The sequence below is a fragment of the Homo sapiens genome, chromosome 15 (assembly GCF_000001405.40).
Source record: "Homo sapiens chromosome 15, GRCh38.p14 Primary Assembly".
NCBI classification, from domain to species: domain Eukaryota; kingdom Metazoa; phylum Chordata; class Mammalia; order Primates; family Hominidae; genus Homo; species Homo sapiens.
Genome location: NC_000015.10, coordinates 67,669,081 through 67,688,891, shown reverse-complemented (window position 1 = coordinate 67,688,891; position 19,811 = coordinate 67,669,081). Strand labels below are relative to the sequence as shown.

At 37.9% G+C, this 19,811-nt stretch overlaps 1 protein-coding gene across 7 annotated transcripts in view; it reads right to left on the bottom strand.

The window, feature by feature from the left end:
- Positions 1 to 19,811, bottom strand: part of MAP2K5 (mitogen-activated protein kinase kinase 5) — a 264,412-nt gene that overhangs the window by 118,223 nt on the left and 126,378 nt on the right. For 2 of the 7 annotated variants that reach the window (XM_011521788.4, XM_047432856.1), the window contains exon 14: positions 6,769 to 9,196. The exons of 4 other annotated variants lie outside the window; for them this stretch is intronic. In XM_011521788.4, coding sequence (XP_011520090.1) covers positions 9,192 to 9,196 — 5 coding nt within the window. In that variant the 3' untranslated portion in view covers positions 6,769 to 9,191. One more of the 7 variants, XM_011521787.4, reaches the window with a different exon arrangement.

Below are 19,811 nucleotides of genomic sequence, written 5' to 3'. Positions count from 1 at the left end.
TTGAACCTAACAACCCCCTTTAACAAAGTCAATGAATCTGGGCTAGGAGACATATGACCTGGGTTTTAGTCTTTTTGATCCTGTCACAAATTTGGCACATGACTTTGGCCTTGGCATGTGATGTTTTAGTTTCCAACTCTGTAGGGAGATAACAGTTACCTTGTCAATATTAGAGAACTGTGAGGATTAGATGAGATAATGAATGTAAAATTGCTTTTTAAACTGTCCAACATTCTTTAAGTGTATTATCATTATCAATTGGTAATCAACCAAGCTAGAAAAAGTTGTATATTTCATTATATTTAGAAAATAATTTCTATTGCTACTGTGGCAATTAAAGCTGTATTTGGGTAAAATACTAGCTCAAAGAAAATAATTTCCAAAGCTCAGTAAGTAGGACTGTAAAACCAATGTGATGTTTACAAGGAAACATTTTTGCCAGACTATATGCACCCCTTCCTCAACAATGCTACTAAGCTGGTTTCCCTAGTTTTACACTTGCTCTATTATAGTTTGTGTTCAACACAGCAGCTAAAATGATCCCTTTAAAACCTAAGTCAGACCACGTCACTTCTTTGCCTAAAACCTCCAAAGCCTTTCCAACTCAGTGCAAAAATGGAAAGTCCTCCCAGAGGTCCCCAAGGCCCTTGTGAGCTGCCCCATACTCTCACCTTGCCACTCTTTTCCATGCCCACTCTGCTTCAGCTCACTGGCCTACCTGCCAGGTATGCTCTTGCGCTGTGGCTCTGTGTCCCTGGAATACTACTATGCTTCCACAAATTGTCCCTGGCTTGCTCCTTTGCTTTAGATTTTTGCCTGAATTTTTCTCCTTTGCTTTAGATTCTTACCTTTTTAGGGGAAGCCTTTCCTAACCACGTAGTATGCAGTAGCAATACCCCCCAGCTCAGATACTTCCTTTCCCTTTTCTTCTGCTTCAGTGTTCTTCTTAACATTTACCTCCATCAACACGCTCCATTTCTACACATAGATCTGTTAATTCTCAGTACTCCCCTCTTCAAGGGAAGCTCCATGAATGCATACTTGGTCTGTTTTGTTCACTACCACATCTAGAATGGTGTCTGGTACATACAGGAAACAATATTTGTTGAGCAAATGGTGAATAAATGGTGTCTCTACTAAACAGGTGAACTAACATGCCGATCCAGAAGAGCATGAATTTGGCCTGAGAAGGAGCTCCATCTTTTCCCATTTAATGGACTACAGTTCAGAATGAATACATTTCAAAATGACACTTCATTCTGAGAAGAATCCATAGTCATTTAAAAGTACTCACTCACAAATATTTACTGACACCTTACCATGTGCCAGATATGGTACTAGGTGCTGTGGAGAGAAACATGAGTAAGACCCTGTCTCTGGCCTCCAGGAGCATGTAGACCAAGAAGCAGTTTGGTATATTCTCTGAACAAAAATACTGTTCATGCGATTTTAGGATAACAATGTTGTTTATGTATATTCTAAGTGGGGGTTTCTTTCTGAACAATAGGGATGTTTCTTTTAATAAAGACAATGAAAGTTATGCAAATAAATAGCTCCTAAGCTTGGCTGTGCATATTTAAAAAATACAGCTTTTTGTGTTCTACTCCAGACTTATTGAACCAGAAACCAATCCAATACAGCCTGGTTTTCAGGCCAGCATTTAAAAGACCAACATAACTTACTGCATTTCCCTCTGATTTAACTTCTAAAAAGTTCAGAATATCTGAAGAGAAATTTCTTCTCATTTCACTTTACTTTTTGAAATAAATCTCATTAAAAAAATCAATTTTACTGCAGCCATTTTGAATGTAGTTTGATGAGTCTGATGAATGTCTACATCCATGCAACCACACCATGATCAAGATACAGAACATTTCCATCACCTCAAAAGTTTGCTGTGTTTAAAGTTTAAAAACTTTAAAGTACTAGACATCCAGTCATCCTCAAACCAATCTTTGCATTCCACCTGGACTGTTTTAACCACTGTCTCAAAAAAAAATCATTAAACCTTTGTTCATTCTGTTTTCACCATCTCCCTCCTACCCCCAGGTTTAGAAACCTTTAAACTTTAAAGTTTTTAAGCTCACCTCAAAGTTTTTAAACTCATCCAAAAAGTTTGCTGTGTAAAAGTTTAAAAACTTTACAGTCAGTTCTACCCTGACCCCCAGCCTTTGGTAAATCACTGAGTGGTTTTGTCATTATACATTAGTTTTGCTTCTTCTCATAAATTATAAACCCTACAACATGTTATTATTATTATTATTATTATTATTATTATTATTATTATTTGAGACACAGTCTCACTCTGTTGCCCAGGCTGGAGTGCAGTGATGTGATCTTGGCTCACTGCAACCTCTGCCTCCTGGGTTCAAGTGATTCTCTTCAGCCTCCTGAGTAGCCAGGATTACAGGCGCCTGCCACCACCCCCAGCTAGTTTTTGTATTTTTAGTGAGACGGGGGTTTCACCATGTTGCCCAGGCTGGTCTCGAACTCCTGAACTCACGTGATCTGCTTGCCTTGGCCTCCCAAAGTGCTGGGATTACAGGTGTGAGCCATCGCGCCTGGCCATGTAATTATTTTTCTTTAAACAATCTGCTGATTATTGTTGGATGATATATCTGTCATTATAATTGAAATAGGTGTCCTGCAAACACTGTACAGTTGTGTCTTGTTCTTTTATACAGTTTGACATTTGTGCTTTTAATTGGACTGTTTAGACCATTCACACTTAACGTAATTATTGATATGGCTGGGTTCAACTCTACCATCTATTTGCCCCATCTGTCCTTTGTTCCTTTTTCTCTTCTTTTCCTGCTTTCTTTTGGGTTAGCTGGGCTAGTTCTTAGCATTCCACTAATCTCTACTATTTGCTTCTAAGCCAGAGGTTGGCAAACTTTTCCTGTAAAGAGTCATAAGTGGATATCTCAGGCTTTGAGAGCTATAAGCTTTTTGTTGTAACTACTCAAATTCTGCTGATGTAGTGCAAATGCAATGATAGGCCACATGTAAATGAACGGCCATGACTGTGTTCCAATTCCATTGTGTTTGTAAAAACAGGCGAAGGCCCAATTTTTGCCCATGGGTTGAATTTTGCCAGTCTGTTTGAAGCTTTATTTATTTATGGCTGTTCTAGAATTTACAATATGCTGCTTTAATTTCTTACAGTCTACCTTCAAGTAATATTAGGGTATTTCATTTATAATGTACAAACCTTACAATAATATATTTCCATTTTCTTCTTCTCATCTTTTATTTTCATACATCTTTCTTCTATGTACACTATAAGCTCCATAATATAATGTCTTTATTTTTCCTTTAAATAATTATATTTTAAAGACATTTAGAAGTGAGAAAACATCTTTTTATTTATCCACGATTTGTGAAACTATTTATTCCTTTGTGTAGATCTAACCATCCATCATCAGTTTCCTTCATCCTAAATAGCTTAACATTTTTTTGTAATGCTGGTCTACTGGCAATGAATTCTCTCATATTCATCTGAAAAAGTCTTTATTTAGCTGTTTATTTTTGGAAAATGTATTTGCTGGGCACAGAATTCTGGAATAATTTCTTTCTTTCAACATTTTAAAGACGTCTTTCCATTATCTTCTGGCTTGCATAGCTTGTGACATGAAGTCGGCTGTCAATCTTATCTTTGTTTCTCTACTTAATGTGCTCTGTTTTCTGTGAATATTTTTAAGATTTTCTTTTTACTCACTGGTTATCAAAATTTTTATTTTGATGTGCTTTGGTGTGGCTCTGTGTTCATCCTGGTTAGGGTTCATTGAGTTCTTAGATCTGTGGACTTACAGGCTTCACCAAATTTGGAAAGTTTTCAGCCATTATTTCTTCAAATTATTTTTTGTTTCCTTTTCTCTTTCCTCTTCTTTTGAGACTCCACTTAACACATATATCTTAGACTTCTTGATAGTGTCTCAAAGATCATTAAGGTTGTGCTCATTTAAAAAAATATTTTTTCTAGTAGTAGAAATGAGTAATTTTGGATAATTTCCAGATCTTTAACCTCAATATCACAATTTCTTCTGTAGTGTCTAATTCAGTTAATTCCATCAATGAAATTTTTATTTCAGATATTTTTCATAATTGAAAAATAAATGTTCAACTTGTTTGTCTTCCATTTCTCTCATTATGCTCATGTTTCCTATGAATTCCTTGGACATATATAGTTTTTATAATAACTATTCTAAAGTCCTGTCTGCAAAGTACATTATTTCTGGTGTGTGTGTGGGAGGGGGGCATCTATTTCTACAGATTGATTTTTTCCCGGTTATAGTCTTTCATCCATAATCAGAAGAAAAATTCTTTGCTTGTCAACTTTTTATTTGGATTGTCAACATTGTGAATCTTGTGTCGTTGAATGCTGGATTTTATTGTAATCCAGAGTGTTGGACTTGATACTGGCAAGTAATATATCTGCTGAACACTGATAGCTGAATCATTTTGAGGCTGATTTTAGACCTTTTATTTTAGGAGAGTTGAGAGTAACCACTACTACAGGGCTAGTTTAGCCCCACTGCTAAAGCATAATCCTTCTAATCTCTTTCTTGAATTCTCCAATGTGTTTAATGAGGCCTCTCTACACTGGATTATTGGAATTTAAAATATTCCCAACTTTGTATAAGTTTTGGGAATTGTTTGGCTTATAGTTCCCCAGAAATTTTCTTTTCTAAACAGTAGTTGGTTGTCTAGCTTTGTAGGATTTCACTCTATAAATGCAGAGGCTGATGTTAGGCCAGACGCAAGGGAACTCCTATGCAATTTCTAGAGCTCTTTCTCTGCATGTTCTTGCCTTTCTAGGACTCTGTTCTGTGAATTCTAGCCATTTTGGTCTCCTTGAACTCCAAATTCTGTCTTTTCAGCTCAGTAAGACCTTTGAGCTTTGTTTGGGTTTCTGTGCAGACAGCTTGGGTGATAGTAGGACTTACTTCATTTGTTTCTGTTCTCTCAGGGATCACTGTCTCACATTGCCTGTTGTCTAAAGTTTGAAGATAACTGTTTCACTATTTTGTCCAGTTTCCTAATTATTTTTGGTGGAGGGCAAATCCCACAGCAGTGACTCCATGGGCAGAAGTAGAAGTATCTGTTTGTTTGTTTGTTTTGTTTTGTTTTTGAGACAGAGTCTTGCTCATGTCACCCAGGCTAAAGTGCAATGGCGCGATCTCGGCTCACTGCCACCTCCAATGCCCAGGTTCAAGCTTCTCCTGCCTCAGCCTCCTGAGTAGCTAGGATTACAGGCGCCCACCAACAAGCCCAGTTAATTTTTGTACTTTTAGTAGTGATGGGGTTTCGCCATGTTGGCCAAGCTGGTCTCGAACTCCTGACCTCAAGTGATCTACCTGCCTCAGCCTCCCAAAGTGCTGGGACTACAGGCATGAGCCACCACACCCCGCCTCCCTTTCTTTTAAAATGTTTGCTTTTGTCTTTTGTTCATTGTATTGACCTTATATCATAAACCACCTTGAATCCTTTTTTAAGGTAATGTAGATATAAATAATCTTAGGACTTTATTAAACTAGGTTAAATCTGAATTCATGTGGCAGAATTTGAAGCAAATAGAATCCCTTTAAATCTTGGGTTAAGGACAGCTCCCCTAATTTAAATTTTGTTATCTCTTGCATAAAATATTCTACCTTATATCCAAAGTATCAACAATCCTAGTATATAGCCACTGAACTTATTACTTCAAGGTTTCATTTAAAACATGCAAGTTCTACAACTTTTTTTTTTTGAGACAGAGTTTTTGCTCTTGTTGCCCAGGCTGGAGTGCAATGGCCCAATCTCAGCGCACTGCAACCTCCGCCTCCCGGGTTCAAGCGATTCTCCTTCCTCAGCCTCCCGAGTCTCTGAGATTACAGGAGACTGCCACCATGCCCAGCTAGTTTTTGTTATTTTTAGTAGAGATGGGGTTTTGCTGTGTTGGCCAGGCTGGTCTCGAACTCCTGACCTCAGGTGATCCACCTGCCTCAGCCTCCCAAAGTGCTGGGATTATAAGCATGAGCCACTGCACCCAGCCTACAACTCTTTTTTTTTTATTTTTTGAGATGGAGTCTTGCTCTGTCACCCAGGCTGGAGTGCAGTGGTGGGATCTCACCTCACTGCAAGCTCTGCCTCCTGGGTTCACACCATTCTCCTACCTCAGCCTCCCAAGTAGCTGGGACTACAGGCACCTGCCACCATGCCCGGCTAATTTTTTGTATTTTTAGTAGAGATGGGGTTTCACCATATTAGCCAGGATGGTCTTGATCTCCTGACCTCATGATCTGCCTGCCTTGGCCTCCCAAAGTGCTGGGATTACAGGTGTAAGCCACCACATCCAGCCAACCTACAGCTCTTAAGAATAGCTCCAGGGGCCAGGCGCAGTGGCTCACACCTGTAATCCCAGCACTTTGGGAGGCCAAGGCGGGTGAAACATGAGATCAGGAGATCGAAATGAGCCTGGCCAACGTGGCAAAACCCTGTCTTTACTAAAAATACAAAAAATTAGCTGGGTGTGGTGGCGTGTGCCTGTAGTCCCAGCTACTTGGGAGGCTGAGGGCTGAGGCAGGAGAATCGCTTGAACCCAGGAGGCGGAGGTTGCAGTGAGCTGAGATCACACCACTGCACTCCATTGTGGCAATAGAACAAGACTCTATCTTAAAAAAAAAAAAATAGCTCTAGAAACACTGAAATGATTTGATTTTTTTTTCTTGTTTGTTTTCAGCTTCACTCGAAGCCATAGACAACAGCACAACAGATTAGGCAGAAAGATTACTTTTAAGGAGGTAGTTATATTTATGCTTATTTTAATGCAATATCAAGTTATGGAAAACAAACAGCAATTGAAGGCATACAGCTTTTCATTCAGTTCACTTAAAAACATCACAGCCTTTCTTCTGTAAGCAAAGCACAGAAAAGATGAGTCATTAAAGTGATTGATTATAAATGGCAATCATCAGGGCAGATGTAAGTCATTTTGGTTTAATCAGGGCATTAATTATTAGGGTTTATCAATTAGTTTTATTGAAGGCAAGGGAGCTCAAATGAATACTAGGGCATTGATTTTAACTGAGACATTTTCTCAAAGAAAATACAAATGAGGTGTGTTGAAGCCTGGAATTATGGGTCCTTTTCATACCACTAAAGAGAAATAAGTTTCTTCTACCGCAACACATAAACCTTTAGTGAAAAAGCAAACTAACTTATTCTCCTTTTGCATTAAAAATATCAAGTTTAGGTGTTTCCTAATTTAAGGTTTGGGTTTAAGCTATCTTGGCCAAGAGATGACTATCATTTTGGAAATAGTAAGATAAAGGCACAATGTAAAGTGGCTCATTTTTAATATCCAATACTCCTTTTTTCATTTTAAAAGATTTAGTCATTTTATGCAGTAGGCTTTTATAGGCATCAAAATAGATTCCTGTGGGTCAGATTCCCTTAAAGGAAGCAGAGTGATGCCCTGGAAGGTGCCGCTGCATACTGACTGTGAGACTGGACGAATCATTTAAACCTCTCTGAGCATACATGTACGTGTGGGTGTGTGTACTCACAACACTCACATGCTCAGTGTTGAGCACACAATTTCACTTAATTCTCATAACAATCCTGAATTCTCACTGACAACCTTGCCAGTGTTGGAAGATCAGATATCATCCCTGATCTTGTACATCATATCCTGTATATGATATCCTGATATCTGATATCTTGATATCTGATCTTCCTACATTGACAAGGCTGTTAAGAGAATGAAGTGGGCCTGTGTGCTTAGCACTGCTGGCACAGAGCTAGAGGTCAGTGAAATGTTGAATGAATCAGATGAATGGGAAAAACATTTTGTAAACTTGAATGTACCAAATATACTATAAAGCTACTGCTTTGTAGAATCAGTAATGATGACTTCCACTCTAGGAAATCAGGATGTGGATCATTTAATACATTGGCTCATATCCAAATGCTAAATGAGGTTAACTTTCATTATACCAGCTCCACCTGAAGGCAGGCTTCTTCTAGGGTAGCAAGTGTGTTCAGCTGGGATCACAGACGAGTTAACATTATCCAATCACAACATGTGTCTCCTGTCACAATACTGTCTCACTCCTTCAGTGAGATTTCACAGTAAGCTGGGCTTTTTAACGATGATGCAATAAATCTTTGAGTTGCAGCAGTGACAGCCCAAGTAGATAATAGGTGGTTATGATGCAGTTCCATCCAATAACTTGAAATGCTTAGAAGATTATTAGAAAAATATCAGTGAGCAGAAAGAATGGAAGAGTTTACTAAAAGAGCCTTCTGTCATGCTAAGGATAATAGTAGGTGGTTTTAGGTAAATAAAAATCAGCCTCAAAGTGTCTTTAAAACTTAAACATAAAGCTATCATATGACCTTTGTAGTCACTATGTGGTCACTCTTTAACAAAGTATGAAACATTGGTTCATTATACTAATCATATAATATATACCAATGGTAAAATAATTATTTCTTCTCAAATCTGATATGTGCTAGATGGCCTGATAAACTATGATTTACAAATATCTAAAGAAATATACCAATTCCACTCCTAGGTATTTACTCAAGAGAAATGAAAATACAGAACCACATAAAGACTTGTGTATGAAAAGTAGTATTATTCATAATCGTCCCAAAGTGGATACAATGCCAAATATCCCTCTACTAGTAAATAAGCAGACAAAATGTGATATATCCATACAATGGAATACTATTCAACAATAAAAAGGAATGAACTATAGACACATGCTATAATACAGACACATCTCAAAAACATCATGCTAAGTGAAAGAAGTCAGGCACAAAGATTTCATGTGGTATGTTTCTGCTTATATAAAATGTCCAGAAAAGGCAAATCTGTAAAAGTCAGAAAGTAAATCAGTGGTTCCCTGGGGCTGAGGACAGGAGCAGGGAGTGATTGCCAATGAACATGAGGACACTTTTTTGGGGTGATGAAAATGTTCTAAAACTGGATTATGGTTATGGTTGCACAACTTTATAAACTTACTAAAAATCACTGAATTGAGTAGATGAATTTTATGGCATGCAAATTATATATCAATAAAGCTGTTTTAAAAAATCAACCTCAAAACACAACTTGATTTCTCATTACCATGACTAATTACTAATAAATAAATTGATAATCCATAGTTTCTGCAGGTGCTTTTGTGGTCACTGTGGTCACTCTCTTACCCTATAACAAAGTATGAAAGATCAGTTAATTACATATACTATATATCAATGGTAAAATGGTTATTTCCTCTTAGAACTGATATGCTCTAGGCCTGATAAACCGCAATTACAAATATTTAAAGAAAGATATTAATTTTAAAATGTTACTTTTGTGTATTTAAGATTATTTCAAGAAATGAGTAAGGCTATGTCTATAAAATGTAAAAACAACTGATTCAAACATGAAAAATTTGGTCCACCAACCATAGTTGCCTCAATAACCGCAAGTAGCTGCTCTGATTTTCAGGCTGGACTGATTTTTTCCCCCCACTGAATTGGCCAAATTGACTGTGGAAATTGGTATCGTGTTGAGACAACCCATGTTGCCACCCATAACTGCCTCACGCAGGAAACTGTATCTTTACACATTCTGCATCAATTAGCCATTAAACAATCCACATAAACAGCATCAAGCAGAAGCTTGCTAATAAAGGCCAGAGCCTCAAGAGCATGTGCTTTCCCAACATCTTCACAAAAGGGCTCCTCCGCCCACTGCCCAGCCCCTGCCCCCAGCACAATCAGGGGTCAGGGTGGGAGGTTACCCTTGGCTAGGATCTGGCTGGGTGCCGAGGGGGCTGTTCAAAACAAATAAAAGCTCCTTCACAAAACTACAGTTGGAGTTACTTAATGTGCTTTGTATAGGGACCCAAACGGTAATTTCCTTGTAAGATTAGTTCTTTTTTTTTTTTTTTTTTGAGATGCAGTGTCACTCGGTTGCCAGGCTGGAGTGCAGTGGCACGATCTCACCTCACTGCAACCTCCGACTCTCAGGTGCAAGCAATTCTCCTGCCTCAGCCTCCTGAGTAGCTGGGACTACAGGTGCTCACCACCATGCCCCGCTAATTTTTGTATTTTTAGTAGAGATGGGGTTTCTCCATATTGGCCAGGCTGGTCTCAAACTACTGACCTCATGATCCTACCGCCTCGGCTTCCCAAAGTGTTGGGATTACAGGCGTGAGCCACTGTGCCCGGTGTCTGGTAAGATCAGTTCTAAAGAAAATTGTGATTTTTGTATCAGCTATATGCTTTCTTTTGCCAGAAAAGAAAAACCATACCAATTGAGGATTCCCTTTTTGTTGTGACCTATTCACATCAGGTGCTGTTGGTATCTCCAACTTCTACTTCCTTTTGGTCTTTGTTTCATATTTAAACATTTAATTTGCTCTGAACTTTTACATGTCTCACTGAATGCTCTTAGAAACAGGCATGGTACAATTGTTACAGAAACATTTTTAAATGTGGCATGTGGCTGTTGTGGGATGACAATGGAGGCAGAAATAAACTTCTCTTCAACTTTTTCCCCCTATAAAGCAATTACACTGTGTGAATACCAGGAAGCCACTCTCAGTTTACCAGGAGCCAGAGGGCACATTAGCCGGTCTCCACTCCTAGCAACCTCTCCTAGCACTGTGCCTGGGATCTTCAGCAATGCTCTTTCATTATGTTTAATTGTCTTATGAAAAGAAAAAAAACAATATATCTATCTAGTTATTTATTGGGGACTGCATTCTAATGAATGAGAACAGCAGGTACAATTAAGTATAGACTATGCTGACGTTCTGCATTACAAATTCATCTGTGCACAACGGGAACATACTTAAGAGAAAACCACATTGCAATATAAAAGTTATTCTAATGACTCCATCACATAAGAAAGGGTAGGTCATCCAAATATTCTTGCAAAGGCCTTAAATAAAATTAAACAGCATAATTAGCCATCCTCAATGGCAGTTATTGCCTGGAGTCTCATGATTCGGTTCAGAATGGAGGCAACAAACGTGCCCTTTCCTTCTTCAATAAAGGCAGGGTACCTGGGACACTTACAAGATTAATAACAAGGGCAAAAAGGCCTGAGCTTCTCAATTCTCCCTCTCTTAATCCTTTCATAGTAAGTAAAAGAGATTTCCTTCTAAAGTGGTGAATCTTAGATTCCTACCTGTGATGTGTACATATTCTGGTCAGTGTTTAGGAAAAGCCAGGTCTGGAGGAATGTGTTCCTGCACAACCTACTTCCCCAAGTCTAAGATACCACTGACTGTTAAGACTCCTCTTGACTATAAAACATTTTTGGGGAAAAAGGAAAGAAAACAAAGGAATACCACATTATATGCATAAATAAGATGTAAGACAGCAGACTTGACTTGGAGCGGTGTGTCCCGAAGACTAATCCTGGTAATTTGTTTTAAAGAAATAACAAAAAATTATGGTAGATAACACTTACTTGGCACTTAATATATACCAGGAACTGGGCTAAGTGCATTATTATCATATGCATTACCTCATTTAATTCTCATTGTAACCCTTGAGATAGGTACTATTATTAACCCCATTTTACAGAGGAGGAAATTGAGGTTCAAATTAATGAAATTACTTGCCCAAGGACACAAAACTAGAGGCTTCGACTAGTAAAGCTCTTAAGCCTTAACAAACTGCATTATATTTATGAGCTAAATCTTATTGGAACTAATAGGATGGATTATCCCAGCTTTGGCAGTGAATAGTTGGGTGATCTTGGGAAGTTCACAAAGAAAATAGCCCAGATGTTTTAAGTTCTTTATACTCACAGGCTAATTTTCTAAGAAAAGGAGATGTTAACAGGAAAGTGTGAGGAACGTTCTAACTATTCCCTCTCATTTAACCTCTTGCTTCTTTTCTTGAGAAATAATTATTTGACATAATAATAGCTGTTATATGCCAGGTACAATGCTATGACCTCAAAGAAGTTAAGAAGCTGACCCAAGGTCACATAGCTAAGATGAATTAAGAGGAAGAACCAGAACTTAAACCTGGGTCTGACCCTCATACTAGAGCTTTTCCATTAGGCCACCAACCACTTTCCTATGACTTTTTCCTATGACTTTTCCTATAACTAAGCAAGTTTTTTAGGCTGCTTGAGCCTTGATTGCTTCACCTAAGAATGGAGATACAATGATACCTCCTCACAAGGTTATTATAACAATTAAATAAAATTATACATACAAGAGAGCTAACACTGTAGCACATACAAGGTACTCAATAAATGATATTAGGAAAATGATTAATATTGTTATCATTATGATTGTACCCAATCCAGAAGGAACTTAATCTTCCACCAGCAAAAGAGTAGATTTGATTTCCATGGTGCTGATCACCTTCAACCATGCCTTTAGAGAAAGGAAGAGACATGGAGAGCTCTTCCAACTGCTAAAGCTGTCTGTCCATTCTGCTTGGCAAAATGTCCCAAGGATAAATCTCTTACTTTAATACGAGAAAGGGGAACAAAAGATGACTTCCAATTTAGCCACATTATAAAAAGTTCCAGGAGAAAAACACTGCCCTCAGAAAATTATGATTCAATGTATTCATCCAACAAATATCCACTGGCATACAATCAATGCCATAAACTCCTCTACCAACAGAAATGACCCTGTCATTCATCATACAGGTGCTCTCTCTCTCCCTCTGATAAGCTCCTAAACTTCAGGTTTGTGTCAGAGACAAAGCAATGATCAGAGCTAACTGCGGGGCTTGGTGAATCAAACACTCATCCACACACTGGGGGCATCTTGCTGGGTGGTTGGATAGAAGCTTACCCTAATGGATACTATAGAGACTGGTGAGCCAAAACACACAACGATCACACAGTCTGCTTCAAATCCCAATCCCCTGCAAGTCAGAAGGCTTTTAGAGGTGGGGACTGGGGAAATAACTATCCTCTTCCATTTGCATTTGTTCCTTGAATGACACACGACGTCTTTCCTTATTTCTCCTCTAAGGCTTCCATTGATACTCATTTTCAGAATGGAAGAGGGTAATTTCCCTCTTACTGATTTCCTAAAAGGGATGACTCTGCCTATGATCAAATCCTACCACAGAAGCATGGGAGAGAGAAAAACTAAGTCCAGGACAACCTTCTCTGATTAAGCTGACCTTCTGAATACAGGTAACTACAGAAAGATGATATATTCTTTTTTTGTTGTTTACATTAAGCTTTTAATTTTGAGATAACTATAGATTTACACAGTTATCTCAAAGTTTACATTTACAATGGTAAGAAATAATACAGAGACATCCTGTGTACACTCCACCCAGTTTCCCCTAATGGTAACATCTTATAAAACTGTAGTATAGTATCACAACCAGGGTATTGACACTGATAGTCAAGATGGAGAACATTTCCATCACCATGAGGATTCCTCATCTTGCTCCATTGTAAACATTCCCTCTGTCTCCCATCCTCTCAGCCCCTGGTAACCACTAATGTGCTCTCTCCATTTCTATAATTTTGTCATCTCAAGAATATTATACAAATGGAATCATACACTATGTAACCTTTGTGACTGGCTTTTTCACTCAGTATAATGATCTGGAGGTTCATCTAGGTTGTGGGCATCAACAGTTCGCTCCTTTCTATTGCTGAGCAGTAATCCATGGTATGAATGCCCACAGCTTGCTTAACCATTCACCTGTTGAAGGACATCTGAGTTGTTTCCAGTTTTTGGCTATGATGAATAGAGCTGCAATAAACACTTGCGTACAGGTTTTTGTGTGAACAGAAGTCTTCATTTCTCTGGGATAAATGCCCAGGAATGCAATTGCTGGGTCATACGGTAGTGGCATGTCTAGCTTTCTTTCTCTTTTTTTTAAATGTCAGCAGTGGGGCTGTATCATTTTACATTCCTACCAGCAATGTATTAGTGATCCAATTTTCTGCATCCTCATTTGCTATTGTTACTATTTTTTATTTTAGCCATTCTGATAGGTATATAGTAATATCTCATGGTGGTTTTAATTTGCATTTCCCTAAAGCCTAATGATATTGAACATCTTTTTCATGTGCTTATTTGCCATCTGTGTATACTCTTCAGTGGAATGTCTCTTCATGTCTTTGCCCATTTTCTAATTGGATTGTTTGTTTTTCTACCATTGAGTTTTGAGAGTTCTTTATATATTCTAGGCACATATTCTTTTAAAAGAATACTTTTAAGACATGTAGCGTTTCTGATCTCTTGAAAATCACAACATACTGCAAATACAGAAATACCCTGTGATCACCCAAGGTAAATAGAATGAATGACCAATATGGGGAAAGAGGCTTAATTTCTCGAGATGTTCATTTGTGTGGATAGTGTCAGAGCTGGAGAAAAACCAACAACCTAGAGTCAGAGTTTGTTTACCCTGTTAATGGGCTAAGTCTTTTTTTTTCTTTTCAAAAACATACACATTCACAAGTTATAATCTACTATAGCGCTGGATGTGATTAATATTTATTATATTTAAAGGACAATATGGAAATGATTTTTACACAGGAGATAGGATGTTAACTGTGCTCTCAACACTAGCACTTGTATAACATAAATGCCTCCTTCCAGACCCATCTGATTAAACAGCCTGAGAGCTCAGGGAAGGAAGAACGCACATACTAGCTCTCTCATCATTACACATGGCAACATAAAACCTACTGGGAATGACTCCTTTTAAATTTACTTGGGTTACTCAAGCACTAACCAGTTCTTTTAAAAAAGTGTTTGGGGCCGGGCACGGTGGCTCATGCCTGTAATCTCAGCACTTTGGGAGGCCGAGACGGGTGGATCACAAGGTCAGGAGATCGAGACCAGCCTGGCTAACATGGTGAAACCCTGTCTCTACTAAAAATACAAAAATTAGCCGGGCATGGAGGCACGTGTGTGTACTCCCAGCTACTTGGAAGGCTGGGGCAGGAGAATCGTTTGAACCTGGGAGGTGGAGGTTGCAGTGAGCCGAGATTGTGCCACTGCACTCCAGCCTGGGCGGCAGAGTGAGACTCTGTTTCAAAAAAATAAACAAACAAACAAAAACTGATCCTCCAGAAAGCAAAAATATGTCATAGGTTATTTAAAAATTCACTATAATGTATATAGTTAATCACAAACTATGTAGATCTCTGCAAAAAAACAGATTGTTACAAAGCTTTATGCAAATTATCTTTTAATAAATCATTAAAAATTAATCAGGTTAGTTTTCTATTGATAGCAATACTTTCCAAGAATTCTTTTGTTTAAGAATCACTTTATCCAGAAAATAATCATTCCCTAATTTATTTTTGCCCCAAATCCCAACTTTTACACACACTAACATACTATTTTAACTACCACCTTGACATCAAAATTTCTTTCCTAAGGAATTCAAACGTTTTACCTCTACCAAACCATTTCTCTTTTCCCATTTAATAAATATAACAAAATAATTTTGGAATATAATACAAATATTCTTATAACATTTTTAATCTTAAAATTTATACTGATTTCACTTAAAGGACAATATCAAATATATAACATTTACCTGCCTACACTATTTTGAACTGTTACCCTCTCACCTTCCCATTTTCTTCAAAATTCCTTCCTTAAAAAGGATGCCCTTAGATGGGACTGTCTTGTGCATTTTTTTGCAACTTCCGGTGGATCTACCATTGTTTCACAACAAAAAGATTAAAAAAAAAAGTGTTCCAGAATTGGAAAAAACTACTTTAAAGTTCATATGGAACCAAAAAAGAGACCGCATTGCCAAGTCAATCCTAAGCCAAAAGAACAAAGCTGGAGGAATCATGCTACCTGACTTCAAACTATACTACAAGGCTACAGTAAACAAAACAGCATGGTACTGGTACCAAAACAGAGATATAGATCAATGGAACAGAACAGAGCCCTCAGAAATAACACCGCATATCTACAACTATCTGATCTTTGACAAACCTGACAAAAACAAGCAATAGGGAAAGGATTCCCTATTTAATAAATGGTGCTGGGAAAACTGGCTAGCCATATGTAGAAAACTGAAACTGGATCCCTTCCTTACACCTTATACAAAAATTAATTCAAGATGGATTAAAGACTTAAACGTTAGACTTAAAACCATAAAAACCCTAGAAGAAAACCTAGGCATTACCATTCAGGACATAGGCATGGGCAAGGACTTCATGTCTAAAACACCAAAAGCAATGGCAACAAAAGCCAAAATTGACAAATGGGATCTAATTAAACTAAAGAGCTTCTGCACAGCAAAAGAAACTACCATCAGAGTGAACAGGCAACCTACAAAATGTGAGAAAATTTTCACAACCTACTCATCTGACAAAGGGCTAATATCCAGAATCTACAATGAACTCAAACAAATTTACAAGAAAAAAACAAACAACCCCATCAAAAAGTGGGCGAAGGACATGAACAGACACTTCTCAAAAGAAGACATTTATGCAGCCAAAAAACATGAAAAAATGCTCATCATCACTGGCCATCAGAGAAATGCAAATCAAAACCACAATGAGATACCATCTCACACCAGTTAGAATGGCGATCATTAAAAAGTCAGGAAACAACAGGTGCTGGAGAGGATGTAGAGAAATAGGAACACTTTTACACTGTTGGTGGGACTGTAAACTAGTTCAACCATTGTGGAAGTCAGTGTGGCGATTCCTCAGGGATCTAGAACTAGAAATACCATTTGACCCAGCCATCCCATTACTGGGTATATACCCAAAGGACTATAAATCATGCTGCTATAAAGACACATGCACACATATGTTTATTGCAGCACTATTCACAATAGCAAAGACTTGGAACCAACCCAAATGTCCAACAATGACAGACTGGATTAAGAAAATGTGGCACATATATACCATGGAATACTATGCAGCCATACAAAATGATGAGTTCATGTCCTTTGTAGGGACATGGATGAAACTGGAAATCATCATTCTCAGTAAACTATCATGAGGACAAAAAACCAAACACCACATGTTTTCACTCATAGGTGGGAACTGAACAATGAGAACACATGGACACAGGAAGGGGAACATCACACTCTGGGGACTGTTGTGGGGTGGGGGGAGGGGGGAGGGATAGCATTAGGAGATATACCTAATGCTAAATGACGAGTTAATGGGTGCAGCACACCAGCATGGCACATGTATACATATGCAACTAACCTGCACATTGTGCACACGTACCCTAAAACTTAAAGTATAATGATAATAAAAATAAAAGAAAAAAAAACGTGTTCTTGCTTTCCATCCAAGTTGTGACTTTACATGTCCTTATTATAATTCCTTATTAATTATAATACTTCATTTTCAGTGTCCCTGATACTTTAAAAACAGTTTCCCTTAAAGATGCCTTTTGATTTGATAACATGAGTCTGGTTTAGAAAGCAACATTTTCTTAGCTAAGGCACACAGCTTTAATTTTCAATTATTTGTTTTATACTTTAGTCTCTTATCTTCAGTTTTAAAACATTTCATATTTCCTAGAATTTCCCACTTTGAAGGAATACCTTAAATAATTTATATACATTAAGCACCTAGAACAGTGCCTGGTACAGAGTACATGCTTAATAGTCATTATTGTTATTATTTTCATCACAAAATCTACTCTTGGAAATTCTCCCCTCCCTTTTCTCTTTCTTTTCTTTTATGTCTCTCTGATTTTCTTTGTTCCCCACCTTATCAACAGGTCACACTTCCTTCAGTCAGGAAATCACAGAACCCAGAACCTTAGCTCTTGAAGAAATCTGAGTGATCATCCAGCTACTCTTTCATAGTATACATGAGGGAACAGAGGCAAAGAGAACAGGAGTGATCTGCCTTTCTGGGGTCACCCAGTGAGGCAGTCAGTCAGTAGGACTGAATTGGGAATGTCAGATAAAGCCTTATTCCTTCTTAGAAACTGAGCTTTTAAAATTGTCCAACAGGTTAAGTCAGCTCTGCAGATACGCAGTTCTTGGTAATATCTCTGGGGAAAAAAATCGGCTTAACTACAGAAAGAACTGTCCAATTTCCAGATGTTTCAAATTGTGCCAATGATAACAGCAACTTCTAAGTTTCTGTTTCTCTTCCCACTATCCTTCCTTCCCTGACCCTGTCTCTCTCTTTCTGGCATTGTAGATATCCTTTAAATCACAAGGGTTGGTTTTTTTTCTTGGGGTGGGGGGGTTGGCTGGCTGTTTTTTAAGCTACTGAGTTACTAGATCAAACCTAGGTAGGATTTGTCAGGAACCATGAAGATACAGAAACAATAACAGAATCACCAAGACCCTTTGAAAGAATGGTTTGTCCTTTTGGCAGGGAAAACTTCTTTCTAGAGTGTCTACTGCACTGCTAAGATGTAAGAAGAGCTTTTCTCTGTAAATCTGGTTTACTTTTTAATTTTAAAATTTGGTTTACTGAGGCATAATTTATACACAGTAAAATTCACTCACCCTTTTCAGGTGCACAGGTCTTTGTTTGCTAAAAAACACATATAACCATGTAACTACCACAAAAATCAAGCTACAGAACATTTCCAACATACCAAAATGTTCCTTCATGCCTTTACAGTCAACTCCTCCTCCACTGTTTGTCAACCAGTGATGCTGATGTTCCATCCCATAGGATGGAAAATTGTATTTTGCTTTTTCCATGTATGTATTCTGCCTTTTCCAGAATGTCATATAAGTGGAATCACACAGCTGGTAACCCTTTGAGTCACCTCCTTCATTTAACATGAAGTATCTGATATTCACCCATGTTGTTACATGTAACAGTAGCTTGTTTTATTGCTGAGTAATATTCCACTCTGTGGATGTATTACAGTCTGTTTTTCCATTTACCAGCTGAAAGACACTTGGGTTGTTTCCAGTTTGGAGCTATTATGAATAAAGCCACTATAAAGAGTTGCCTAAAGTTTTTGTGTGGACATATGTTTTCCTTTCTCTTAGGTAAATATCTAGGAAGGGGATTGCTGAATCATGTTGCAAGAAATTGTCAAACTATTTTTCAAAGCAGCTGTACCATTTTATATTTCTACCAGCAATGTATGAGAATTCTAATTGCTCTGTATTCTAGTCAGCACTTCATATTATCAGGTTTTTTGTTGTTATCTCTTTTCAGGGAAAGAAAGTAGCAAGAAGTATTTTTAGCATACTAAACTGTTAACAATTTAAGCAACCTTGACGCCTTTCTCTTAAAAGTCACAAGCAATCCATCAGCAAATTCTATCAACTATACATTTAAAATATATCCAGAATCACCACTTCTCCCCATCTTTATAACTATCTCCCTGATCTGGGCCCCTGAAACTTACCTGAATTACCAAAACATTTTCCTAACAGCTGATTCTACTCTTGTCTCCCACACTCAGATACAGACACACTGGCCTCTTTGCTGTTCCACTAACACTCCGGGCACATCCTGTGGTGTCTACTCTAACTGTTTCTCATATATCTACTTGACTAGTAACTCTCCCCTTTCAAGCCTTCCTCCCAAACTCATCTTCCCTATGAGGTTTCTTTGATTAATACGCAACCTACCCTTTGCTTCCCCTAACCTCAATCTACTTTTTCTTTTCTATTATTAACAACCCTCTAACACACTCCGTATTTTACTTACTTATTATGTATGTTATTGTTTAAGAAATGTTTCCTAACCCACTCTATCACTGCTAGAATATGAGTTCTATGATCATAGAAATCTTTTGTTTCACATATTGATGTGTTTCAAGTACTGTGAAAGCGCCTAGAACGTAGTAGGTATAAAATAAATAGTTGCTCAATGATCAAACTAACACTGGCTTTGGTATCTAAGGTAG